Genomic DNA, 27320 nt, shown 5'->3' on the forward strand with positions numbered 1-27320 from the left:
TCATTCTTCACATGTGCTATCTTAAATTATTTACTGTCATATATTTATGGGGTTTTTTTGGTTTTTTTTTTCTTTGATACGAATTTTTTGCTCTTATCACCCGGGCTGGAGTGCAATGGCACAATTTCAGCTCAGTGCAACCCCTTCCACCTGGGTTCAAGCAATTCTCCTGCTTCAGCCTCCTGAGCAGCTGGGATCACAGGCGTGCATCACCACGCCCAGCTAATTTTTTTGTATTTTTAGCAGAGACAGGGTTTCACCACGTCAGGCTGGTCTCGAACTGCTGACCTCAGGTGATCCACCTGCCTCGGCCTCCCAAAGTGCTGGGATTATAGCCTCCCCAGTAGCTGGGATTACAGTCAGGCACCACCACGCTCAGCTAATTTTTTTGTATTTTTAATAGAGATGGGGTTTCGCCATGTCATACTGGTCTCGAAGTCCTGACCTCAGGTGATCCACCCCCCTCGACCTCCCAAAGTGCTGGGATTACAGGCGTGAGCCCATGGTGCCTGGCCATGTGTGTTTACATTTAATAAACCTTTATTAAATATAATCTTACTGTATTTATGAATTTATACTGTTTTAATTATAGCTTCAAAATAACGCCTGTAGCTTTTTCCCTTAGGATTATTTTTTAAATTGACAAATAAAATTTGTATATATTTTTGGTGTACAGCACGATGTTTTGAAATATATATATATGTACACATTGTGGAATAGCTAAATTAAGTTAATTAACATATGCATTACCACACATATTTATTCATGGTGGGAAATCTCTCTTAGCAGTTTTCAAGTAAACAACATGTTGTTATATACTTTCTCATGTACTTATACTTTATTTGTGGTGAGAAATCTACTCTTAGTCATTTTCAAGTATACCATACATTGTTGTTACCTATAGTTGCCATGTTGTACAATTGCCATTAAATATTGACTCATACTTAACTACTAAGGCAAGGACTTAAGAATTAGAAAAAGTGAAACAGTGAATTTTCAAAGATAAATGATACAGTTTTCCTTTTGAGAATGGACAGTTTTTTCCTAAATATATTATTATGAATAATAGAGAATGTTAAATAATATGAAAGTATGTTTAATTATTAAATATGCAAGTATTCTCATTTCTATCATGTATCTTTATACTATAAAATATTTTTAATGTTGCATAAATCTTTTACTACTGTACCTTTACATTTTTAGGTGGCAAAAAAGTTGGCATTAATCCTAAAATTAATAATTTAATGCCAGGATATGAAGTTGCAAAGTATGATCTTATATGGATTTGTGATAGTGGAATAAGAGGTGAGGTTTTTTTCTTATTTATTTTATAAAACTATTAATTTGAAGATAAAATGCTAAAAGCAATCTCAGATACATTCATGAGTTCTTTTTATTTGCCTAAAAGAGTAATTTATTTCATCATCATTTCATGGTAATATGTCCAGTTATGCTTACTAAGATTTTGATTTTTTTAATCCTAAACTAGAATGTTACATGTATTAAAATGTTTTCATTTTGAAGAGAAAATTTCAACCATTAAATTAAAAATGGTTGTGGTTCATTATATAATCTGCAAGCTTTCCCATGGGTGTAACTTTTCCCTTGTTTGCCTGACACTTATCTTTAATGTGTTTCGGCTTGCGTAATACACCGTCTCACAAAGGGACAGAAATTAATAGGTGCATATTTTACTAAAACACATACACTTATCGGACTATACACATGACTTTTTACTTAAATGATTTTAGCAAGAAGCCTTTCATATACTGAAATTATAACTTGCATTTTCGAACACTCATAATAGTTTCAGTGTTCTATAATATTTTCTTATATTCTAATTGCCTTAAGCTTCTCAACCCCAATACTGTTCACATTTTAGGCTTTGTTGTGGGAGCTGTCTTGTAGGATGTTTAGCAGCATGCCTGGTCTCTACCATGAGATGCCAGTAGTACCCCCTTCTCAGTAGTAAAAGCAAAAATATCTTCAGATGTTGCCGGATGTCCCCTGTGGGGCAGAATTGCCCCCAGTTGAGAAGCACTGACCTAGAATGAGTATTTAAGGTCCAAATACAACTTTTCTTTATACGGTAGATTTAGTTCTTAAAGACTTGGAGGAAATGAAAAATAAGGTCATGTAAAAATGATATGAGATGTTTGCTAAAGATTGGGCAATAATTTAAATTTTTTATTAGCTTAAAATGCAAATTAGAAAATGAACATAAATGTTGCACTCCTATGAGTTAATCAAGACCATTACAGATCTATCAGCTGGTCAGAGATGATGTTCATTCTTCATATTTGCTATCTTAAATTATTTACTATCATATGTTTTTCAGTGTACAGATCTCTGTTCAATATAATCACGTTCCATTCCTGTGTGGAAATCTGATACTCACAGAGAAAATAGTCTCATTTCCTATGGTTGGAGAGTAGAGAAGCCAGCACGAGAACTGAGGTCCTTTAGCCTCTGCTCCTGAGCCTTTTCCACTAGGACAGATTGTCCTTATTCCAAATTAGAAGTTCCAACAGGGGGTAACTTTTTCAAAGTATATTCTGCCTCTGGTACATAGTAGGTATATACTGGGCTAAAAAATGTATAAATTAGCTTTCGAGAATTAGGCCCTTTTGAAATTTTGTATTCTCCTCAGAAAGGTGGTTGAGATTCATTTTATTAGATCCATATGTTTAAAATAATGTATTTTATTAAGAATGTAATAACAATTCACAAAATATATTTTATATTAATGGGCATTCTACTAAAAACAAATTTTCTTTTCTCCCCCTCTCTGCCTTTTTTTTAAATTGTAGTAATTCCAGATACGCTTACTGACATGGTGAATCAAATGACAGAAAAAGTAGGCTTGGTTCACGGGCTGCCTTACGTAGCAGACAGACAGGGCTTTGCTGCCACCTTAGAGCAGGTGAGTATGGTGGTTATAAATCATGTTCATAGTATCAGACCCCTCATTTCCCAGAAGCTTGAGACTATGGGAGCTGGAATTAGGTATCTCAAGTTAACTGTATTAAGTCCATTTGGGAACCTGCTGTGTTCTAGAAGCCCTGAGTTGAGAGCAGCTGTTTTCATTAGTGAGGAAATTCTTGGGACCCTGACTGTACCCTGGCAGTGAACAGCTGTGCGCAGGAAATGCCTGCGGTCTTATTGCCAGCTGAACACAGTCTAACCTCTTGCCTTGTAGTATTCACTTCCTGTTCTAGAGTTCAGTTCTTTATATTGTTCTTTCAAACATTCGATCTGAAAAGAACCGCTGGCCCCCTCCCCCCAGCCTTTTTTTTTTTTTTTTTTTTTTTTTTTTTGCGACAGAGCCTTGCTCTGTTGCCCAGGCTGGAGTGCAGTGGCACGATCTCGGCTCACTGCAACCTCCACTTCCCAGGTTCAAACGATTCTTCTGCCTCAGCCTCCCAAGTAGCTGGGATTTCAGGTGTGCTACCACACCTGGCTAACTTTTGTATTTTTAGTAGAAATGGGGTTTCACCGTGTTGGCCAGGCCGGCCTCAAACTCCTGACCTCAAGTGATCTGCCTGCCTCAGCCTCCCAAAGTGCTGGGATTACGGGCATGAGCCACTGCGCCCAGCCCTCAAAAGAACCTTTTTAAAATACCACAAAGTATTTCAAATATACACAAAAGAAAATGTATTCATACAAGTCCTTATAAAACCTATTTGATGTCCTTTTAAAACATATTTCTAATAATTACCTGAGAAACTTATGTTTTCATTTTATTTTTTCTCCAACTTAGAAATAGTAACATCCATAGGAAACTATAAATAATGGAAAAGTATAAGATGCAAAAAAACAAAAACCAACAACCTAGAACCCTAACAATTACAGGAAGTTTATGGGGTTTTTTTGTTTTTTTTGTTTTGTTTTTTTTTTAGATGGAGTCTCGCTCTGTCGCCCAGGCTGGAGTGCAGTGGCGCGATCTCGGCTCACTGCAAGCTCCGCCTCCCGGGTTCACGCCATTCTCCTGCCTCAGCCTCCTGAGTAGCTGGGACTACAGGTGCCCGCCACCATGCCTGGCTAATTTTTTGTATTTTTGATAGAGACAGGTTTTCACCGTGTTAGCCAGGATGGTCTCGATCTCCTGACCTCGTGATCCACCCTCCTCTGCCTCCCAAAGTGCTGGGATTACAGGCGTGAGCCACCACGCCCGGCAGGAAGTTTCTGGTTTTAAAAATAAACATTGTATCATTTGGACACTTTGGAGTCTTTATTTCCCCCACCACCCCCTTCTGGGCCCTTTAGAAAACATTGTTGAGATAGTATTCTAAAAATAATCTGTATCTTATTTTTGTGACTTTGTAAGCTTTTCCCATATCATTAATAGCTTTTCATAAAAGTAATTTTTATTGGCTGTATCATAGGCCATCGTATGTGTGTCCTATGCTTGAGTTAATCATTCCTGTACTGTTAAACATTTGGGAGGAAAAATTTGTTGTAATGTTATAAGGACAGATATGTGATTTCAGTCTTTAAATATGTCAACTTGCTCTTAAGCATATCTGCATTTATATTCTTTTGAATTGCAGTCTTATGATTGCCACATATCTGAAGGGGTAAAGGTACATTGTGGGAACTTGCATCTGGCCTTTGGCAGTTTGAACCATGAGCTCTTTCTTAATATTGGCTGTAAATATATTTGTCCTACTGCAAGAAATTGTTAGTCTTAAATACCAGAATTTTTGTTTAGAAAAAGAAACTGAGTAGCCACTTTAAAATAAAATACAATGTGTTCTAGTATACCAAATTGTATTTTTGTCTTAGAAATATCCAAATTGATACAGATGTCAATAACATCTCTGTGATGTGTATGTCAATAAACATCTCCCAGAATACACCCATTGCCTTAGTGTAGGTTTAATCTCTGGAAGTCACTCTGCCATACTTAGAATTAATCATTCTCAACTGTAAAGAGCACATTCAGCTCAGTGACTAACATCTCATTCCTAAGACCTCAATAACTACTAAGGAATTAAGATATGTGCCTCTGTTCTTAGAAGTCAGGTTCAGTTCAGTCCCACAAACACTAGGGCTTCACTGGAGTCTGGGTTCAGGGTAGGTAGCAAGAATCATAATCATAATTGCCCCTTAGAATTCTCTTGCTCTGCACTGTGTGTGTAACTCCTAAGAAAGATGACTACTCTTTATTTCAGGCTAATTAGAAAAGGCAACATATCTGAGGTGTAAATAATAAATAGGATTTTATGTCTACTAAGTAGGGTAATAACAGTCCTTTTCTACCATTGATTTATCAGCGTATATATCTTATGACTTCAGAGTATATGCAGAGAAATGGCAGTAGCGGATGAGAGAATTTTAGTATCCCCGTTATGAAAAATACATTGAAAAAAATGGAGAAATTGGGAAGAATCTTAGTGACTAAGGGAGAGGGAGCAGCTAGCTACAAAAGGATGCAAGAAAAGGAATTAAGAAATAGGATTGTGTCCCCTCCCCACCCCCCACCCCCCAAAAAAATAGGATTGTCCCGAAGGTTGATATACCTATGGGTGGTGTGTGTATGCATGCATGTATATATACACACATATACGTAACATACAAATATGTATATTGATCCCAGTAAAGTAGATGTGTGTGTATATTTACATGAACACCCTAAAAACAAGATACATTGAATATTTGTTAATATTTTATATATCAATGAGTGATATTTTTACCTTATTTTGTATCTAAATTAAGTTTTATTTGGATGCATTTTTAGCTTACTAACTGTGCTTGCTCTATGAAAGCAATATTGTCTACCACTTTTTATTCAGGTAGTCTACGTAAGAATAATAAGATATTCACTCAATCATACTTATAAAAAAACCATTGGGAAAAACAGTTCGTGAACACCATGCTTTTAACATGAAATTCTAATCATACACGTTTGTGGTTTTTTGGGCAGGTATATTTTGGAACTTCACATCCAAGATACTATATCTCTGCCAATGTAACTGGTTTCAAATGTGTGACAGGAATGTCTTGTTTAATGAGAAAAGATGTGTTGGATCAAGCAGGAGGACTTATAGCTTTTGCTCAGTACATTGCCGAAGATTACTTTATGGCCAAAGCGATAGCTGACCGGTAAGACAACTAAATGAAGCCATAGTATTTTTATTACCTAACTTCTGTTGGTTTATTCTTTTTGTTCAACCTATAGATTAGGGCTTTTTAATTTAATTTTATTTTTTTTGCTAGTAAGTACAGAATAGGTCAATAATTTTATTATTTTGTTTGTTTTTGAGACAGAGTCTTGCTCTGTCACCTAGGCTGGAGTGCAGTGGCGCGATCTTGGCTCACTGTAGCCTCTGCCTCCCGGGTTCAGGTGATTCTCATGCCTCAGCCACCAGAGCACCTGGGACTACAGGCATGTACCACCATGCACACTAATTTTTGTATTTTTAGTAGAGATGGGGTTTCTTCATGTTGGCCAGGCTGGTCTTGAACTCCTGAACTCAAGTGATCTGCCCACCTCGGCCTCCTAAAGTGCTGGGATTACAGGTATGAGCCACCACACCCAGCAGATCAATAATTTTATAGAGTAATTCATATTCTAATTATAGAATTGTAGATATGTACTAATGAAGAAGGTAAATGTTCTGATTCCTCTACATTTTTCAAATTAATGTGTTTTAAAGCGATTAAAAGTAAGTTTCTCTGTGTTTAGAATTTTTACTATATAGATACAAATTTCTGTGTTTTAGAAGAATTAAAACTATCAGTGCAGTCATAAACTAGTAGGTGAAAATTTAAAGACTATCATTTCAAAATTTGAAATTTGTCAGTGAATTATATGATACTTTGCTAAGAAGCCACTGAAAGATTCATATGACTGACTTAGCATTTCTCTATCACAAAATACTTGTTTTGTTTTGGTTTTTTTTTTTTTTTTTGAGACAGTCTCGCCCTGACATCCAGGCTGGAGTGCAGTGGCGCAATCTCGGCTCACTGCAGTCTCCGCCTCCTGGGTTCAAACGATTCTCCTGCCTCAGCCTCCCAAGTAGCTGGGATTATAGGCACCCGCCGCCACACTCAGCTACTTTTTTTTGTATGTTAGTAGAGGCGGGGTTTCACCATGTTGGCCAGGCTAGTCTTGAACTCCTGACCTCGTGATCCGCCCGCCTCAGCCTCCCAAAGTGCTGGGATTACAGGCATGAGCCACTGCATCCAGCCTAAAATACTTGTTTTTAAAGGAGATCACTGCCTTGTGTGAGAATTCTTTTAAATTTTTTAAAAACTGAAGTGTGTTTTAAATACAAATTCTGTCATGATTGTGTTCATGTGGTTCATGGTTTCCTAGTGTCTCCCATGAGATCCATAATGCCACTTTCTGTTTACATGTCTTGTTGTTTGGTTAGTAGTCATCAGAGACTAATCTATTAAATATGGAGCCCTCTCCATTTTTTTTCAAAATGACTGCATTTTAAGTTTCTTAAATTGTAAAGTAAGGTGGGTACAGTTTCTTCTAGTTCTTAGATGGTGCTGTCACGGGCCAGCATAATTGCTAAAACATCCATACGTATGGTAGACCTTAAGTCATGTGCTAATCATGAAAGCTGGGCTCACCCTGAATACCGGCAGTTGCCTGGTCTTTATAATGATTACTGAATGCATAACCAGTTACGCTTGCATGTGTTCATCATCATAACTTATTTTCTAATTATCTTAATTTTCAGAGGTTGGAGGTTTGCAATGTCCACTCAAGTTGCAATGCAAAACTCTGGCTCATATTCAATTTCTCAGTTTCAATCCAGAATGATCAGGTAAATCAACTGTTTTCTTTTTATACTTCGTTAAAAGGAAAGTGGGGAGGGGGGTGGTAATTTTTACAGGTTTAATGTAGTTAAATGAATGTACCTAAAGGTTGAAGATTTTTGTTTAGTTGCAGAAAATAGAGTTTAACGTCTGTGTTTAAGATAAATTTAATGTCTAAATGTATTTTATTTGCTGTATAACACTGAAAGCACTCATTAGAGAAATGTTGAGACTGAATTTTTTAATATGCTGATCTTTATTTTCTAACTTTCTGTGCTGATTAAATTTTATTATCTGTATTCATCAGAGCGTAGGCCATACAAATGAATTTAAAGACATTTTTCTTTGACATCCTAGACAAAAATAGAAAAGAGAGTCATTAAAAAAAATTTTTAGGTTGTGTGTGGTGGCTCACACCTGTAATCCCAGCGCTTTGGGAGGCCAAGGCGAGAGGACTGCTTGAGCCCAGGAGTTTGAGACCAGCCTGGGCAAAATGGTGAAACCCTGTCTCTACAAAAAATGCAAAAATTAGCCAGGTGTGGTGGCGTGTACACCTGTGGTCCCAGCTACTTGGTGGGATGAGGTGGGAAGATCGCTTGAGCCTGGGAGATTGAAGCTACAGTGAGTGCCACTGCACTCCAGCCTGGGTGACAGAGCAGAACCCCGTCTCAAGTAAAAAAAAAAAAACAAAACAAAAAAAGTTTAAAGAGAATGGTCTTTCTATCACAGGGTAAAAAAATTGATTATTTGAGGGAAAAAAAAAAGGATTTGTCTTGTAGCCAGGATATTGTTTTAAAGAAAATCCTTTTTGTTTTTCCAGGTGGACCAAACTACGAATTAACATGCTTCCTGCTACAATAATTTGTGAGCCAATTTCAGAATGCTTTGTTGCCAGTTTAATTATTGGATGGGCAGCCCACCATGTGTTCAGATGGGATATTATGGTATTTTTCATGTGTCATTGCCTGGCATGGTTTATATTTGACTACATTCAACTCAGGGGTGTCCAGGTATGTGGATAGGCATGAAAAGGTTGGCAGTCCCTTGGTGGAACTAGAACTATTTCAATTTAGAAAAAGTTGAAGGAAATGTATCTGAGCCATTCTTCAGCTTCCCATTGTAGGTTAGTCTCGGGTTTGAACATGACTTTCTCTAGTGGAATGTTGATGCAAAACTTAAGTCGATTTGCAACTTTCTATTGGTTATATAATCGCTTTTATTAAGTTTCCAAAAACATGAAGTTAATTAAATCAGTGAGTATTGAAACTAATAAGACATTAAGATAGCAGTTATTTTAATGCTTCATTAACAATTAGCATTTTCTTGAACGGTATAACATGGCAGTTAAATTACATAAGGAAGCAGACTTGATTTTACATAGTATACTTAGAAAAGTGAAATCCAAGAATTTAATTTTTTAACCTTGTCTTTAGTTTGACAGTGAGTGAAATTAAAAAATTTTTTTTTCCATTCCTAGGGTGGCACACTGTGTTTTTCAAAACTTGATTATGCAGTCGCCTGGTTCATCCGCGAATCCATGACAATATACATTTTTTTGTCTGCATTATGGGACCCAACTATAAGCTGGAGAACTGGTCGCTACAGATTACGCTGTGGGGGTACAGCAGAGGAAATCCTAGATGTATAACTACAGCTTTGTGACTGTATATAAAGGAAAAAAGAGAAGTATTATAAATTATGTTTATATAAATGCTTTTAAAAATCTACCTTCTGTAGTTTTATCACATGTATGTTTTGGTATCTGTTCTTTAATTTATTTTTGCATGGCACTTGCATCTGTGAAAAAAAAAAAAAACACATCTGTAGTCTTGGCCAAATGATACACTTTATTTTGTGGAAGTAGAGAATCAAGAGAATTGGTTCTAGGAACCTGGGTTCGTTCATCATTGTTGTTTATTTTTTTAAAATAAATAAATAAATATATATATAGATGCTCTGCAACAAACTCTGTGACAGTATCCTTCAGTAGAGAAAGTTTCTTACTTGTGAGTACACTCTTTTAGAACATTTACGGGTGGCAGCAGCTTTGCTTTAGAGTTTAGAAGATAATAGAAGGAATGACTATTCATGTCCAAAGTGAATGGTTTTGTGCAGTGAACAACACATGGCGAGGTACTAACTGAGAAACTTTTTCATGCTTTATGCCTACCTCTTGTAGTTGTTGCAGAGCAAATATAAATTGTAATAAGATAGCTAGGCCTTGCAGAAACAAACAGAAAAACTTAAAAAAAAATGATATAAGAGCTGGAGTCTAGTATTTATATGAATCTGTGAGAGATAATTTTTTTGGTCTCACTGCAATGAACCAAAAGCGGCTGAGTTTGGTTTTTAATTGTAGCCATGTATTGAAGGCATCTTTTTGACCAACTCTTGTTGGTTCTGTCTTGAACCATTGTTAATCACTGTGCTGTAATTAGTATAGCTAAATCTTTTCCTTCCTTGCTCCTCCCCCAGCCCACCCCGTCTTCCCTTAACATTTTTTCAGGGGGGGTTGGGAGTGGTTTCATTTTAGTGTGAGTGGATGTTTTGATAGTTGTAAGGAAAAAATGCATTTCAGACACATTTCACACATGAGCTATTTTCTTACACAGTATGTCTTATTGTTAATAAGAATGTAATTTCATGATACAAGTATTTAATACCTTTTTTAAGTCAGTAAATATTCTAGCCATCAATAAATTGCAGTAGAGTATTAAGAGGGGACAGGATGAGTTTACTCTTAAAATTAATCAGTATCAAACTAAGTCTACTGTGTGTGTTTTTTTTTTTTGTTTTTTGTTTTTGTTTGTTTACTATTATAGTAAGTCTAGTCTTATTTAAATTGGATTTTTGTATTCAAGTTTATATGACAAAATAGACTAGATCAGCGCTGGTTGTAAATGCATGCTGTACCTCACTGTTTTCTCCCCATCATGCCGCTAAACTTGCTCGCCAGGTTGTGCTTAACTTGTGGTGAACTGGACTTGATTCTGTTTTGTTTTGTTTTTTTAAAAAAAAAAAACAAAAATGTAAGGGACAGTGCATAAGCCTTTTCTTTGTTAAGTAGTGGTGTTTTGCTTTTTCTTCAGGATTGGATGGCATGTTGTCCACAGGAATGCCTACTGCAGGGCTAACACTGGCAATATGGCAGCTTTAAATTCTGAGTTACTACAGTCTCCATGTCAAAGCATAATGTGTAGCATATCAGCAATAACTACATATTTATAGAAAACACTTTTTCACTTTACTGAGCCAATTCATTTAATTGTCAAATGTCTATATCCATGGTTTAAATGGCAACATATCTATAAGTATGTATACACATTATATTTAAGCTTTTCTCTGGGCCAAACTGCTTCATCCTTTTTTCTTTCTTTTTTTTTTTTTTTAGCCTTATGATGAATTTGTTTGAAGGGCATTTTCTTTATGAACAAAGGCTTGGATGCATATTCCTTTCTTTCTGTGAATGGGTATTATTCCCTGAGGAAAGTTGCACAGTGAAAACCAGTCTGGTTGTGACCCACTACATGTTTTGTTTTTAATCACTATTACCTGAGTTGAACTTTGCTCACCATGTTTGTACTTGTTGGTCTGTTTAATGAAGTTTGGTTGATGCCATCCTTTGCACTGCCGAAGCGTAATCTTGTGTATTACTTAGCTCTCTGCTGATCTCAGTATGGACAGTGTAACAACAAAACCAAAATGGCTGGACAGACTTCTTGTGTTTTGTAAATATAAACTAGGACAGTTCTGTAGGTTTGTTCAGTGTGCTAGTGGAGTATTTCCTTAATGTAAAACTTCACTTAACAGAGAGATTCTTTGTTTAGCAAGCTTGGAGTGATGATAAAATGGTAAGAAATAATATAAATGTTGAAGAAAGCATCACAACAGAACTATAGGAGTCTAAATTTAATAAATCTTTAAAAAAAACCAGTGTCTAGAATATATACCATGTTTTATTATTTAAAATCATTGTCTTAAATTTTTGTTCAAAAAATAAAAATTTGAATACAATCAAAACGTTAGCAATAGTGTATTTTTTGTTCTTCTGTATTTTTATAAGTAGCATGTTCCACCATTCACATCAGAATTATTAGAAGAGTTCTGTCAAGTATTCCTTTTGAAATCTTCCTTTTACCTGAGCCATAGGTAAAATAAATAAGGACATAGGCAGTCCTGTGACTTAAGTATGGCTTTTCTACATTGGTTGCCTGTTAAAATCACCTGGAGAACTTGTAAAAAAAAAAAAAAATACACAACACACACCCTGGGCCCTGTACACAACACACACACACACCCTGGGCCCTGTACACAACACACACACACACCCTGGGCCCTGCCCACATAGATTTTGGTGTAATTATTTTGGGTGAGGCCTGAGCTCTTCTACCCGTGATTCTACTGTGAGAATGACTGGCTCGTAATGACCTTTAGAAAAGAGCCAGTGGTCCTTTGGGCCCCTCTCCCCCCGGGCTCACAGCTTGAACTCAGCCTTTTAGATCTTACCACTCTAATGGCTAGAAAATGTAAATCCAAAGGAAGGAATGGAGTGGCATTATTACTTGAGACCCAGATGGGAGATGCACCTTACATACTTTCCAAGGCCAGGTCCCTCCCAAGCTGGAAGCCTTTACAGGCCTGTTTTACCACCATCCCATGAGAAAAGAATGTTCTTAACTGGAGAACAAATCCGGGGTAGAAAGAATCCGCTCTCAGCTGATATTTTTGTCTCTCCGTAGTTCCTGTGTTGAAACCTAATGCCCAATGTGAGGAGGGTCTTTCAAGGTGAGGCCTTTGGTAGGTGATCAGAGCCGTCAGGATGGGATTGATGCTTATAAAGGAAACCCCAGAGAGCTTTCTTGCCTCTTCCGCCATGTGAGGATACGGCAAAAAGGTGACCAGCTATGAACCAGAAAGTCAGCTTTTACTAGCCACTAAATCTGCCAGGGCCTTGATCTTAAACATTCCAGCCTCCAAAACTGAGAAAGTTTTGTTGTTTATAACCCACCCAGTCTATGGTATTCTGTTATCGGAGCCGTAAGACACAGTCTAAAAGGGATCTGGCCCAGTAAACAAACATTCCTTCTCATTTGTGTACTTCTAACCCTACAGTTTAAGAAATGATCAACACAAAGTTGAGTATGTCTTAGAATTTCATAGCTAGGTGGATCTTGAGGATCCCTCACCCTTATTTTAGAATGAAGAAGCTGAGACACCCACGGTGAGAGCTGTGATCATAGGGTTAGGTAGGCATGGTGCTGGTGGCAGAGCTGGGAGTAGCCCCTCTATCTGGTCCCAGTGTGGTATATTTCTCCGCTGGACCACATTTAAATTTATGCTTACACTGGCTTGAAAATTTACCTAGACCTTAAGGGGGAAAAATATCACAGTTTTAATAACCATCTGTATCCTAACTCAAAAATTGTTCTAGAGAACCAGATTCAAACCTGTAGAACAAGAATGTAAATTACTATAAAGCTCATTTAAAGTGAAATGCTTTACATACATGATTGATAAGATTGATGCATACCACAAGACTGTGTTCATGAGAATGGAAATAGTTCAGACCTTTCCTTCTGAAGTTTATCAGGATCTAGTGCTTGAGTTATTTATTTATTCATTTCAAGTTATAGTTTACGACCATATCAAGTTCATTTCGGTGAAAAGAAAGCAAACCGCAAAATGGTGAGTACCTGTCTCTGCAGAGCTGCAAGGATATGTGTTTAGTTGGGTAATTTGCTTTAAAAATATTGATACCTAGAAAAAAGTTTAAAATCACTATCCTAGTATTTTCTAAAAACAAAAATACATATCTTTAAGAGATCCCTAAGCAGCTAGTTTCCTAAGAACCAAAATGTGCTAAGCCTTTCACATGGCCCCTCCTCAGTTCCGAGAGAAATTGGCAGAGACTGTGGGTGTCTGGAATGGTTTCATGTGGTTGTGCTGTTTAGACTAATCATCATTAAGACATCCATGCTAATAGCATGGACTTGTAATTATCTAATTTAAGCAATTTAGGGATATCATTTATTCTTCTACAGGACTGAGAGTATCTGCACCCCTCCTCTGCTGCCTGCACACCCCATTGCGGTCATGCCACCTTTGTTTCCCAACCCTTGTCACCAGATGTGAAACCTCTATCATTTCCCCTCATGACTGACGGACACCAGGCCAGCCTAAGGAACATGCTGGAGAAATCCAGCAGACTATTTATTGTGCAGCTCTGGAGCAGGGGAAAGGAATGGGTTAGAAGTGGTGACTTGGGAGTAATTTCCCTAGAGGTGATGGCTGAGACAGTGACTATAACTAAAGTCAAAGTGCCATTTAGAGAGACAATGGAAGAAAAACATCTAGGAAAAGAGGCTGCCAAACCTGGGGTCCAAATGGGCTTTTTGGTAGCTATGGGACTTTAGGAAGCTTCCTTCATCTTTCTGAGCCAAGCTTTCTTAACCATGTAGAATGGAGATACTAAAGCACCTGAGGTGGTAGAGATGATTCGATGAGGTCATGTACATGAGCATAGGGACAGTTAGTGCCTTTTTCCTCCCAAAGAAGAAAGAAATAGTAAAAGGAGTGCCACAGTAGCCTTGGAAAGAGAGATTTCAAGAAGGAAGTGGTCACGGGAGGGGCCGTTGACCGTAAAGGATGAGAAGAGGCTGGTGAACTCTGGGGCAGGAAACTCCCTGTAGAGTTGCCAGCGTGGGTCTCCGCCATAGTGAATTGTCTCAGACGTTGATAGATGAAGTGTCTGCGTGGGAGTAATACAGCTTCTTTATGAACGATTTTTCTTGTTTTACACAGTGATATATTTTCTACAGTGAGAGACAAAGGGGTGGGACTTTCAAAGACAGAAATTGCTCCTGACCCTGAGAGCACCCATATGACTCTGATGCCAAGGAAACAGTTTAAGAAAGGCAGCTCCCAGGAAGCCAGTTCATCAGAGTGGAAGAAGCAGAAGTCAGATGCTTTAGGTTTGGCTGCGTGTGAAAAAGACATGAAAGCGATGGGCACAGATATTTGGAAACTGCAACAACGATGCATTTCCACCCAAGGTCCCAGTAATACTAAGCCAAAAAACTAAGCCTGACTTGAATTTGTGAGAAATGTCCTAAGAAGTTGGGTCATTAAGAGACGATGAAGGGGAATTGTCCATCCCCATCTTCCAGTCTCCTGACTTTATCCTAGACTGTCTCCCAACAGCATAATCGGCATCCCGGAAGCAGCTGTGGGCACCCTAGCCCTGCCCACAGTCTGCCCTTTTTCATTTTGTTCTGATTCGCTTATTTTTGGTTATATTGCTTGTTTTACTTCCTGCTTTGTCTCTACATTGACTTGGAGCTTGACTTCTGACTTCAGCTTCTTCCTCTGACCCCATGTTCCTCAGCCTTACTCCAAGCCCAGGAAAAGGTGGTCCTTAATTTTCTATTCTCATTTCACATCACCATCTCTCCAGCCTGAGCTCTCCACCCCCAACCCAATGGCTCACTCTCACCAGCCGACCCTTTTCCGTGTGGAACCAGAGCTTCCTTGCTCCCATGCTGTTTCCTTGCCCTGAAAGTTTCTCTCCCTTCATCCTCACTTTCCCTGTCTATGGGGATACTCTCCTTCTTTATTGTTGGTTTTTTTGTTTTATTGTTTTTTGAGACAGAGTGTCACTCTGTCACCCACCTGGAGTGCAGTGGCGCAATCTCTGCTCACTGCAGCCTCCACCTCCTGTGTTCAAGCGATTCTTGTGCCTCCGACTCCTGAGTAGCTGGGATTACAGGCGTGCACCACTACATCCAGCTAATTTTTGTATTTTTAAGGGGTTTCACCATGTTAGCCAGGCTGGTCTCAAACTCCTGTCCTCAAGTGATTCGCTTGCCTCGGCCTCCCAAAGTGCTGGGATTACAGGCGTGAACCACCGCACCTGGTCAACATACTCTCCTTTAAACCTCAACTCACATTCAATTCAGGACCTTTCCAGAGTTGTGTGTGCCCACATTTTGTCCCTTTCATTTTGTCAGGCATTTCACTTACGTGTCTGCAGGTCATTTCCAGTTTTCAGGGGCCTGGACTTTGCATATCTTAGTAGTCCTTTTTTGTGCTTTTTTCTCTTTGTACCCTTCCCTCCAGTGCATTCATGTAATAGTCACTCGGGAAAGGTCTATTGTTGACAGTCAAGCCAGAATCAAAACATTAATTCTGGCACATATGTCATTTAATACCTTTCCACCCTCTCATTGTGTTAGTAAGGTGTTTGCTATTTCATGCTCCCAACCCCCCCACCCTCACCCTACTAAAACAAAAGATTTCTCTACACATGAGTAAAATACTAAAATTTTATTTTCCCCTTCTAGAATCTTCTAGTTCTGGTTTTGGGTTTTTGTTGTTGTTTTTGTTTGCTTTTTGTTTTTTGAGACAGAACCTGCCTCTGTCGCCCAGGCTGGAGTGCAGTGATGTGATCTTGGCTCACTGCAACCTCCGCCTACCGGGTTCAAGCGATTCTCCTGCCTCAGCCTCCTGAGTAGCTGGGATTACAGGTGCACATCACCACGCTTGGCTAATTTTTGTATTTTTAGTAGAGACGGGGATCACCATGTTGGTCAGGCTGGTCTCGAACTCGTGATCTTGTGATCCGCCCTCCTCGGCCTCCCAAAGTGCTGGGATTACAGGCCTAAGCCCCTGCGCCCGGCCTGTTTTTTTCCTTAAACTTTGAGAAGCTAGCAGTTTTTGGAAGGAATCAAGAGGTGACCCTGTCAAGTCTATCTTATCAACATCCTACAAGCCCATTGATTCTTGTTGTGTTTTATTTTCTTTAAGTTACACATTGGTTTTGGATCATAAAAATAGTACATATTTACTATAAACCTGAAACATAAGAAATGAACAAAAGCCCTTCTAGGTAGATACTCAAGAGAACTGGAAACAAAACGTCCACATAAAAACTTGAATGTTCATAGCAGCATTATTCATAATAGCCAAAAGGTGGAAACAACCCAAATGTCCATCAACTGATGAATGTACAGACAAAACTTGATCATATACAGACAATGGGATATTATTTATCCCTAAAAAACAAAGGAACAGCCGGACCCAGTGGCTCACGCATGTAATCCCAACACTTTGGGAGGCCTAGGCGGGCAGATCACTTGAGGTCAGGAGTTTGAGACCAGCCTGGCCAACATGGTAAAACCCTGTCTCTACTAAAAACACAAAAATTAGATGGATGTAGTGCCACGCGCCTGTGATCCCAGCTACTCAGGAGGCTGAGGCACGAGAATCGCTTGAACCCAGGAGGAGGTGGAGGTTGCAGTGAGCCGAGATCACACCACTGCACTCCAGCCTGGGCAACAGAGTGAGACTCTTGTCTCAAAAAAAAAAAAAAGAAAAGAAAAAAGAAAAAGAAATGAAGTATTGGTGCATGCCACAACATGGACGAACCTTGGAAATGTTAAGTGAAAGAAGTTGGATACAAAAGGCCTCATAGTGTATGATTGCGTTTGTATGAAATGTCTAGACCAGGCAAATCCATAGAGACAGGAAGTAGATTAGTGGTTGCCATGGGCTAGGGGATGGGAGGAATGAGGCATGGCTACTAACAGTGGTCATTACTAACAGGGTTTCTTTTGGGGTGATAAGAATGTTTGCAAAGGAAAAATAAATATCACTCTCAATGTATTATTTCCTTCCCACATTCTGGCACATACTGCTGAAGTGCTTTCCAGAGAAGGTGTGTGCGTTTCTCATTACTTGTCATCCTTGTTAGGAGTCAGAATAGCTATTTTCTAAATCTTTCTAAATTTGACAGATGAAAATGTACATCATTCTTTAAATATATGGCTTTTTAATGGCTGGTAAGATCGAGTATTTTTGTATGTATGATTTTTATCATTTATTCATTGGATTTTCTTCCACTTCTTAATCTTATTTATTTATTTATTTATTTATTTATATTTATTTATTTATTTAGAGACCGAGTCTCGCTCTGTTGCCCAATGTGGAGTGCAGTGGTGCGATCTCGGCTGACTGCAACCTCCACCTCCCAGGTTCAAGTGATTCTCCTGCCTCAGTCTCCCAAGTAGCTGGGATTACAGGCACCCACCACCATGCCCGTCTAATTTTTTTATTTTTAGAGGAGTTGGGGTTTCACCATGTTGGCCAGGCTGTTCTTGAACTCCAGACCTCAGGTGATCCGCCTGCCTTGGCCTCCCAAAGTGCTGGGATTACAGGCTTTAATCTTATTTAAATGAGGATCCAAATGTTTTCTTATTGCCTGTTCCACATCTTTTCCTTTTAGCAATATAAAATAGCTTTTATATTGCCAAGCTGAGCCCTTCCCTCTTCTAGAACCTTTGCATTTAGGAAGGTGTTTCCTCAAGGTAAGATAGAGTAGGCATGGAAATAATCGATTAGCATTTGTGCAACTAAATGGCCCATGGAAGTTGTCCAGATCAAAGATTAGTCTTCCCAAATTTGCTTTCCCTCCCTCTTTTCAAATAAAACCATTTTCAGCTTTGAAGTAACAATATTTTCAGAGTCTGTATATATCTGCATTTGTGAAATAAAGCTGACTTGGCCTTTGGGTACTGTTTTTTAGATACATTCCTGAACTTCATTTGTTATTATTTTATAATATATTTCCTAGTCTTCAGAGTTAGAATATGCTAACCGTGCAAAGTCAGTTGGGCTATTTTTATTCCTATGCTCCAGAAAAAAATTACTTAGCTAGGAATTATCTGTTCCTTAAAAGTTTGAAAGAGGCTGGGCGCAGTGGCTCATGCCTGTAATCCCAGCACTTTGGGAGACCGAGGCAGGCAGTTCATTTGAGGTCAAGAGTTCAAAACCAGCCTGGCCAACATGGTGAAACCCTGTCTCTACTAAAAATACAAAAATTAGTGGGCATGGTGTTGAGTGCCTGTAATCCCAGCTACTCAGAAGGCTGAGGCAGGAGAATTGCTTGAGCCCAGGAGGCAGAGGTTTCAGTGAGCAGAGATCACACCATTGCACTCCAGCCTGGGCAACAGAGTGAGACACTGTCTCCAAAAAAAAAAAAAAAAAAAGTTTAAAAGAATGTATCCATAAAACTTTATGGGCCTGGCATTTTGATAATATTTTCAATTTATTTCATTGATAATATTCAGTTCTGTGTTTGTAAAGTCAGTTTTAGTCATTTATACTTTAGAGACGCATATAGCATGTTCATAATTCTCTTCAGATGTTTTCTTTTTCTGGTCATATATGCTGTTGAGCAGGAGGTTTGCAGCCTCCGTGCCAGTTGAACTTGGGCCTCTGTCATCTAAGAACAGAGCTGCAGGCAAGTTCATCCCTCCCATGTCTATCAGCAGCTTCCCCCTGTGAAGAAAAGCTGAGCCTGTTACTCCTCCTCTTAAAACACTGTAATGGCTTGATGTTGCCATCAGGATAAAGCCCAAGCTTTTCTCACAGCAGAGAGGCCATTTTAGGTTAGGCCCCAGCCAACCCCTCCTGCTTGTCTCTCAACTCTTTTCCTAACCTGTTCATATAAATCCTCCTCAAAGTAAACTTCCTCCAGGTTCCTGATGCCTGGCCTTTCCCGCGCTGGACCTTGGTGCATGTTGCTTTCACCTGGGTCCCCCAATTCCTCTAATTAAGCCCTGCTCGGCCCTTGGGACTCGACTCAGAAGCCAACTCCCCCAGGAGGGCTTTTCTGACTGACACTCACATGGTTATGTACCCTGTGTCTGTGCCTCCCCAGCCTCACCCTTCTTCTGCTCTAGCACTTACACTAATTATTTTAATTGCCCCTTTAGTTCTTTGTGTTTGTCATTAGATTGGAAATGGCAAGGGCAGGGAGGGTTCATAAATTACTTGACTTTGTGTCCCAAGCACCACATGTAGAACCTTACACAAAGTCCTTTTTATTGAACAAATTAATGAACAAATACAGGTAAGCATCCCTGTCTCACTAGTATTAAGCCTATAGCTGATCACACAGTGGTGAGGTGTGTAGATTGTACAGACAGACTTAGGTTCACTTTCCAGCATCACCATTTGTATCCTGTACCGTGTCTCTACGCCTCAGTGGACACCAATGTGAGAAGTGAAGGGAATGATGCATATGAAAAGCTACATCCTCAATAGAAGTTTTGTGTTGCTATGATATGGATCTTAAGTACTAGACTCCGTCACTGAGCAAAATGAAAGCTTGGCTACCCAATGGACAAAGTCACTTTTCTTTTTTTTTTCTTTTCTTTTTTTTTTTTGAGATGGAGTCTCGCTCTGTCACCCAGGCTGGAGTGCAATAGTGCAATCGTGGCTCACTGCAACCTCCACCTCCCGGGTTCAAGTGATTCTACTGCCTCAGCCTCCCAAATAGCTGGGATTACAGGCTCCTGCCACCATGCCCAGCTAATTTTTGTGTTTTTAGTAGAGATGGGGTTTCACCATATTACCGAGGCTGGTCTCGAACTCCTGACCTCAAGTGAGGTCTCCCTCCTCGGCCTCCCAAAGTGCTGGGATTATAGGTGTGAGCCACCATGCCTGGCCCAAAGTCATTTTTCTTTCCTCAATACTTGAAGAATTGTTTATCCTCTGATAGAGAGGGTTGCATGATCTTTTTGAGGGGAATTGACCTTTTGCCCTTGATGATTCAGAGTAAATATTCTAGTGTTCAAGGAGAAAATCAATCTGATTCATTTGAACTATTATAAATAGTACTATTGTAGCCAGCAATAATATTGTCCAGAATGTTAGAGCTGATGGATTGATGTGCAAAGCTTAGGAAGCAGCTACAAGACCTCATTGCATAGACCTGTGTTCCTGTAACAATATTCCACAAAATCTGAAAGCTAAAGTGTCTGCAGCAGAGCATTGCACATATGACCTGGAATCAGATGCACCCACATCATAGGCAACACTCAAGGGGCTTTACCAGGTTGGAATGCTTCCAGATGTTATTCATTTAGTGGACAACTTGTTCTATATAATTCAAAGACAATTTCCCAGGTGTTCTCTTCTCTGAGCACTGAGAGCAGTGAGCACGTGGATGCTTAGGTCTCTCCAGGCCATGTGGAAGAGAGTTTTCTTCCATGCAGCTTTGTAGGTTGTCAGACTGTAGCATGAATCAGAATCATCTTAAATGCCAGCAGCAGCACCCCCTCCCAAGTGAGGAAAGCAAGGACTCTTCAACTTTATCAGCTTTCCTGAGGTTCTGATGCAGGCACTTGCAGCCACTCTTACAAGAACATCTTGGTAGAGGTTTATCCCCAGGAGGATGCATGTTCCACAAGTCAAGGTTGGTGGAGTGGAAGTGGGAGGCTTGCGGCCTGGAGGGTTGAGGCTCAGACCCTAGGATGTCACTCTGTTGATCTCTAAGCAAAGCGCAATAGACCTGTAATCACCAGAGGTTACAACACACAGGACTCTACAAGCCAGGCCACATGGAACAGCAGATGTTGACTCACAAGTAAGAGGTCTAGTACCAGATAGAGAAAGTAAGGCAGAGGAAAACTTGTTGAAAAGTTAACAAAAGGTTTTCTTTTCATAATTTTTCTCCTAAAAACTGGGATTTTGAATTTTGTCACTAGGGTGGCTGGAACTTAAAATTTTTACTTTATTTTCATGGATTAGCCCAAGGGGCAAAAAATGAATGGAGGAGTACCATTGCTGTGACTACTGAGACTGAGCCAAAGCTGCCGAGTGGAGCTAGGAAACACTGTCCTGCAGAGTCCCACTGATTTGGGCCAACAGTGCTGTATTTGCCTATCCTTGGGAAATTCAGGGAAAATGACAACCTGTATTGGCTGATCACTTTTGATTTTCAGTCCCTCCCAGCTAGGACAATTCAGTCACCAAATGAAGAGTCCAGACACAGCTCAGAGCTCATAGTTTGGTATCTAGAGATGAGGATCCAAATCTGGCTGCCCTAATGCCTTGCTATGACCATCATCTGGGAGAAACTGATCAATTCCATTGATTTCAGTGGCACTAGAAAAAAAGGTTTCACTTCTTGCATCTGAGAACAGATACCACGCCCCCAAAAACCTCAACAGAAAGTCCCAGCTGCCTGTCTCATTACTGCTGGCCCATCCAGTGGCAGTCAGTTCACTACGGCTTGAAGAATTCCAACAGCTGACTTGCAAAGGAAACATGCAATTTCCCGGAGATAGACCAAATTGCATGACCAGAAAATATGGCTAACATAGAGGCAGAATTAATAAGAGAAAGAGAAGTAAACTTTAGTTAAAACCTAATGAGGAGGAGAAACATAATGAGGACATTTAAGAAGATACAATTAGAGCATAAAAAAATGAAATTATGGTACTGAAAAGTATGATTTCTAAATTTAGAAATTCAATGTAGAAATTAAAGAGAATGATTACTTCTGAAAATCAAAATAGCGTTTAGTGGGATCCCTATAACCCAGAGCAAAACAAAACAAAATATACTAAATACTAAGAGAAATACGCAGATACAAGACAGAGAGGACCGTTTAGGTGGAGACTTAAATTGTCTAATAAATTTCCAGAAGGAAAAAGGAAGAGACAGAAGAAAACCAAAGACTTGCTTCTTTAGATTTAAATGACTTCCTAGTCCCAGGTGGGTAGAATGAGAAGACATATTTGCAGACAAAGAAGTGTCCTAAAAGAAGAAAATGGGGAAAAATTAAATAGGGTTAAATTTTTTAACCCGAAGGATAAATTTAACGGTCATCAGCCAGAAAGAACAAGTTATTGACAAAAGAAAGGGAGTTAGACCATCGCTGGACTATCGGCAATACTGAAGGTTACTGGGGGGATTGTGATAGGAAAATCTTATAACCAGCCAAAATCTTATTATATAAGGGCAAAAATAAGGTATTTAGGGGCTTGTAGGACCTCAGAAAGTATACTACCCATGTACTCAACCTGAGGAAATTAGTCAAGGAAGTACTTAAGAAAATAAGGATGCAAGGAGGCCAGGTGCAGTGGCTCACGCCTGTAATCCCAGCACTTTGGGAGGCCAAGGCAGGCGGATCACCTGAGGTCAGGAGTTCTAGACCAGCCTAGCCAACATGGTGAAACCCTGTCTCTACAAAAGTACAAAAAAAAAAAAAATTAGCCGAGCATGATGGCGGGTGACTGTAATCCCAGCTATTCAGGAGGCTGAGGCAGGAGAATCGCTTGAACCTGGGAGGCAGAGGTTGCAGTGAGCCGAAATTGTGCCATTGCACTCCAGCCTCAGCAACAAGGGCGAAACTCCACCTCAAAAAAAAAAAAAAAAAAAAAAAAGGATGCAAAATTATAGCCGGATAAGAGGAATAAGTTCTAGTGTTCTATAGAATTCATAGTTCCTATAGTTCTAGTATTCTATAGGATCCCTATAGTTAACAATAATATATTACACAGTTTCAAATAGAAGGAGGATATTAAATGTTTCCAACATGAAGAAATGATAAATGTTTGAGAGGATGGATATGCTAATTATCCTGATCTGATCACTTTAAATTATATATATTAAAACATCACTTTGTACCCCATGAATATGTACAATTATTATTTGTCAATTTAAAATAATAATTTTTTTTTTTAGATGGAGTCTTGCTCTGTCACCCAGGCTGGAGTGCACTGGCACAATCTTGGCTCACTTAAACCTACACGTCCCAAGATCAAGCAATTCTCCTGCCGCAGCCTCCCAAGTAGCTGGGATTACCGGCATACACCACCACACCTGGCTCATTTTTGTATTTTTAGTAGAGACAGGTTTTCGCCATGTTGGCCAGGCTGGTTTTGATCTTCTGACCTCAGGTGATCCGCCCGCCTTGGCCTCCCAAGGTGCTGGGATTACAGGCGTGAGTTACTGTGCCCAGCCTAAAACAATCGTTTTTTAAAAAAAATTCAGCAACAGGGAAAGACAAAGAATACAAGAAGACAATGGTGAATAATGAACCTTGTAATTGTCATACTCTAAATAGATGCTAACGTGACATGGAATAATGAGAATTTTAAATCAGATGAGACTTATTATGGAGGAAAATTTAATAGCCTTGGCTAAAATTTTAAATTATCTCAAAACACAGGAGTAGGGGTGTGAAAGAAGAAAGTGGGGAAGTAAAAGTGCTTTCAAGCTTTGTTGAGGTTTATGAATTGTGAGGGAGGGGCTGCAACGCCATTCTACAGTGCACAACAAACAACTTTACAGTTGCTCCTGGCTGGGGCCGGTGGCTCACACCCGTAATCCCAGCACTTTGGGAGGCCGGCGGGCGTGTGGCTTAAAGCCCACAGCTCGAGACCAGACTGGACAACATGGTGAAATGCCATCTCTACTGAAAAAAAAAAATACAAAAATTAGCCAGGCGTTGTGGTGTGTGCCTGTAATCCCAGCTACTTGGGAGGCTGAGGCAGGAGAATCGCTTGAACCCAAAGGCAGAGGTTGCAGTGAGCCTAGATCGCACCCCTGCACTCCAGCCTGGGCGACAGAGTGAGAGTCTGTCTCAAAAAAAAAAAAAAAAAAAAAAAAAAAAGTTGCTCCTTAGACGTGGCTGTTCTAAAAATCCTTGATCTGTTCTTCCATCAAGGATTTCTTATTGGCAGTAGTATCCTTTCTCTCTCTCTCTTTGGCCTTGAAGTTTCCTTTCCCTACCTTCCAAGCTCCTCCCCCTTTTTCTGTTCCTACCCATATTCGTCTCACTTTTTACACAGGGAAAATTAACTACAGATTGCAAATTTAGGTTCTGTGCAGCTCTGCGGCATTCAGAGCCTTCAAAGTCCAGTTCCAGAATGTGGGCTTTGTCGTGAAGGCAGTAGGAAGTAATTGAAAGTTTTGTGTGTTAGAAAGATTTCTCTGAGCCGGGCGCGGTGGCTCACGCCTGTAATCCTAGCACTTAGGCCGAGGCGGGCGGATCAGCTGAAGTCAGGAGTGCGAGACCAACCTGACCAACATGGAGAAACCCCGTCTCTACTAAAAATACAAAATTAGCCGGGCGTGGAGGCGCATGCCTGTAATCCCAGTTACGCGGGAGGCTGAGGCAGGAGAATCGCTTGAACCTAGGAGGCGGAGGTTGTGTGAGCCGAGATCGCTCCATTGTACTCCAGCCTGGGCGAAAAGAGCGAAAACTCCATCTCAAAAAAAAAAAGATTTCTCTGGCTGCTGTGTGGAGGATGGATTAGAGAGAATGAGCTTGAAGGCATAGACACCCAGCAGGAAGGTTGTCGCTCTAATCCTAGTGAGGAATTCTGTTTCTCCCCCATTCCTAAGACCTAAATGTGGCTGAAACATTTTCTTTTTAGTTTTGTACAGGTCAGATGGGAAAGTACCACTCTCACTTTCTACAATGGGAACTCTTTAATGTTTCATACCAACCCTAAGCCTTCCTTAGGAGGGGCAGGCTGCCCAAAGTCACAGAAGGCTGACACCTAAGAAAAGTCCGGTCCTGGCGTAGTGGCTCACGCCTGTAATCTCAGCACTTCAGGAAGCTGAGGCAGGTGGATCACTTGCGGTCAGGAGTTCAAGACCAGCCTGGCCAATATGGTGAAACTCCATCTCTACTAAAAATACAAAAAATTAGCTGGGTGTGGTGGTGCATGCCTGTAATCATAGCTGAGGAGGCTGAGGCAGGAGAATCACTTGAACCCAGGAGGTAGAGGTTGCAGTGAGCTGAGATCGTGCCACTGTACTCTAGTCTGGGTAACAGAGCAATACTCTGTCTCAAAAAAAAAAAAAAAAGTCCATGTCAGGATCACAGCCCACTTCATTTGACTTCCTGCCTCCACTTGACTTCTCCAGAACGTTACTCTCCAATCTGTTCCTGCATATGACTGGCTCTCAGCCCTGCTGACTTCATCTCCCTGCTCCAGTTTCCCACTCACTCAGATTTGATGACCAGCTTGGTATTCCCTGCTGCTTCCTAACACTCAAAGTTTCATTCTGTAGGATGTTGAATTAAAACATTAGTTGAGTTCATAGCCTCATCAGGTCTATTGCAAAAGTTATGGCATTGATCAGAAAGAAGTAGTTGGCCTAGAAGAATTGGTTTGGGGAAATTCATGTGATTCAGAGTATCCCAAGTCCCAGTGAGCCTCTCTTACCAGCAAATGCAGCTCTCCCTCCTTTTCCTCTTCTGTCAGGGAACCCACCTTGCTACAGGGAGTTACCGTTGCCAATTCTCTTTATACCGGGCATTCTTACCATCTCTGATTGCCTCCAGATGACAGCCAGCATGCCCTTGGGGATCCAGAACGAAGGAGGAAGTTAAAACATCAAAAGGATGTTAAGCATTTGCTCATTTTTGTTAGCAAAACACTGGAGAATGCCTGTGAGCATAAGGACTGGACCAAGGAAAGAGGGACATAGATAAAGCTGAGGCAAATTTTTTTTGTTTTGAGAGGGAATCTTGCTTTGTCACCCCGGCTGGAGTGCAGTTGCTCGATCTCAGCTCACTGCAACCTCCGCCTCCCAGGTTCAAGCGATTCTCCTGCCTCAGCCTCCCGAGTAGCTGGGACTATAGGTGCATGGCGCCACACCAGACTAATTTTTGTATTTTTAGTAGAGACGGGGTTTTGCCATCTTGGCCAGGCTGGTCTTGAACTCCTGACCTCTGGTGATCCACCTGTCTCGGCCTCCCAAAGTGCTAGGATTACAGGCGTGAGCCACCGCACCTGGCAGGTTAGGCTAAATTTTTTAATATGGTATTCTTTCCAGAGATTTTGGATGAAAATGCCAGCTCCAGCAGCTAGGAGTGATTCTAATTGTTTTTCTCAGTTGGCTGACAGGAAACTGTGATTCAAAGATAGACCACACCAAATGAAGCCAAGAGGCCAGAAATTTCTGCCTATGATGTAGAGGAAGGAATGCAAAGACAGGAAGATGGGGACTTGGGAATGGATTTATCATATGTGATTCACCCACCTCAAAATTATGCCCCTCTAGGCCGGGCATGGTGGCTCATGCCTGTAATCCCAGCACTTTGGGAGACTGAGGTGGGTGGATCACCTGAAGTTGGGAGTTGGAGACCAGCCTGGCCAACATGGCAAAACCCCGTCTCTACTAAAATTACAAAAATTAGCCAGGCATGGTGGCAGGCACCTGTAATCCCAGCTACTCAAGAGGCTGAGGCAGGAGAATTGCTTGAACCCGGGAGGCAGAGGTTGTAGTGAGCCAAGATTATGCCACTGCACTCCAGCCTGGGCGACAGAGCAAGACTCCATCTCAAAAAAAAAAAAAAATCATGCCCCTCCAGTAAAGACTAACAATATATTCATATCACCAAACCACTGAGAAATGCATTGGTGCAAGGAGAGCTAGAATCTCTGTAAAGCAGTTGTAGGCCATGGATGCAAATGGGATGAACTGCACTCCTTATGGGATGACATAGTCTCCCTAATTCCAATAAGGGTGATGGAATTGGGAGTAGAACACACAAGCAAGGCCAAACATCAGCACTTCATTTCGAAGGCATGGAATCTACAGTTGTCATAACTGCCAGACATACTTACGTAGTCATCTGAATAGTCTGACTATTTGGTGGTACCTAATTACCTAAACAGAAGATCCAGAATTGAAACAGATGGGTAGCCCACCATAAGGTTTTATTTGATGTATGAAAC

The 27320-nt window shown here is 40.3% G+C and overlaps 1 protein-coding gene, 1 long non-coding RNA gene and 1 other non-coding gene across 5 annotated transcripts in view, besides 2 other annotated features; 2 read left to right on the top strand and 1 right to left on the bottom strand.

Moving 5' to 3' along the window:
- UGCG (UDP-glucose ceramide glucosyltransferase) overlaps nt 1-11796 on the top strand; it is a 38556-nt gene extending 26760 nt beyond the window's left edge. For 2 of the 3 annotated variants that reach the window (NM_003358.3, XM_047423844.1), the window contains exons 4-9: nt 1204-1305; nt 2811-2923; nt 5927-6105; nt 7698-7784; nt 8597-8786; nt 9254-11796. In NM_003358.3, coding sequence (NP_003349.1) covers nt 1204-1305; nt 2811-2923; nt 5927-6105; nt 7698-7784; nt 8597-8786; nt 9254-9424 — 842 coding nt within the window. In that variant the 3' untranslated portion in view covers nt 9425-11796. Of the gene's footprint in view, nt 1-1203; nt 1306-2810; nt 2924-3899; nt 4219-5926; nt 6106-7697; nt 7785-8596; nt 8787-9253 lie in introns of those variants that run through there. The other variant, XM_017015107.2, reaches the window with a different exon arrangement.
- Nucleotides 3065-3224: a silencer, noted in NCBI's record as "silent region_20186". NCBI's record gives its function as "represses an Ori minimal core promoter by ATAC-STARR-seq in GM12878 lymphoblastoid cells {active_cell/tissue: GM12878}" and the evidence as "EXISTENCE:reporter gene assay evidence [ECO:0000049][PMID:35858748]".
- On the top strand, nt 8527-8596 carry MIR4668 (microRNA 4668). Its single transcript, NR_039814.1, has one exon. It is a non-coding gene; the product is annotated as a microRNA 4668 (primary transcript).
- Nucleotides 14312-14621: an enhancer, noted in NCBI's record as "active region_28801". NCBI's record gives its function as "activates an Ori minimal core promoter by ATAC-STARR-seq in GM12878 lymphoblastoid cells {active_cell/tissue: GM12878}" and the evidence as "EXISTENCE:reporter gene assay evidence [ECO:0000049][PMID:35858748]".
- On the bottom strand, nt 19633-26059 carry LOC124902250 (uncharacterized). The gene is made up of 2 exons (XR_007061735.1): nt 25803-26059; nt 19633-21127 (listed from the first exon to the last, which is right to left on the bottom strand). It is a non-coding gene; the product is annotated as an uncharacterized LOC124902250 (long non-coding RNA).
- Between the last annotated feature and the right edge of the window lie 1261 nt (nt 26060-27320).

Source organism: Homo sapiens, chromosome 9, assembly GCF_000001405.40.
Source record: "Homo sapiens chromosome 9, GRCh38.p14 Primary Assembly".
In the NCBI taxonomy this organism is placed as follows: domain Eukaryota; kingdom Metazoa; phylum Chordata; class Mammalia; order Primates; family Hominidae; genus Homo; species Homo sapiens.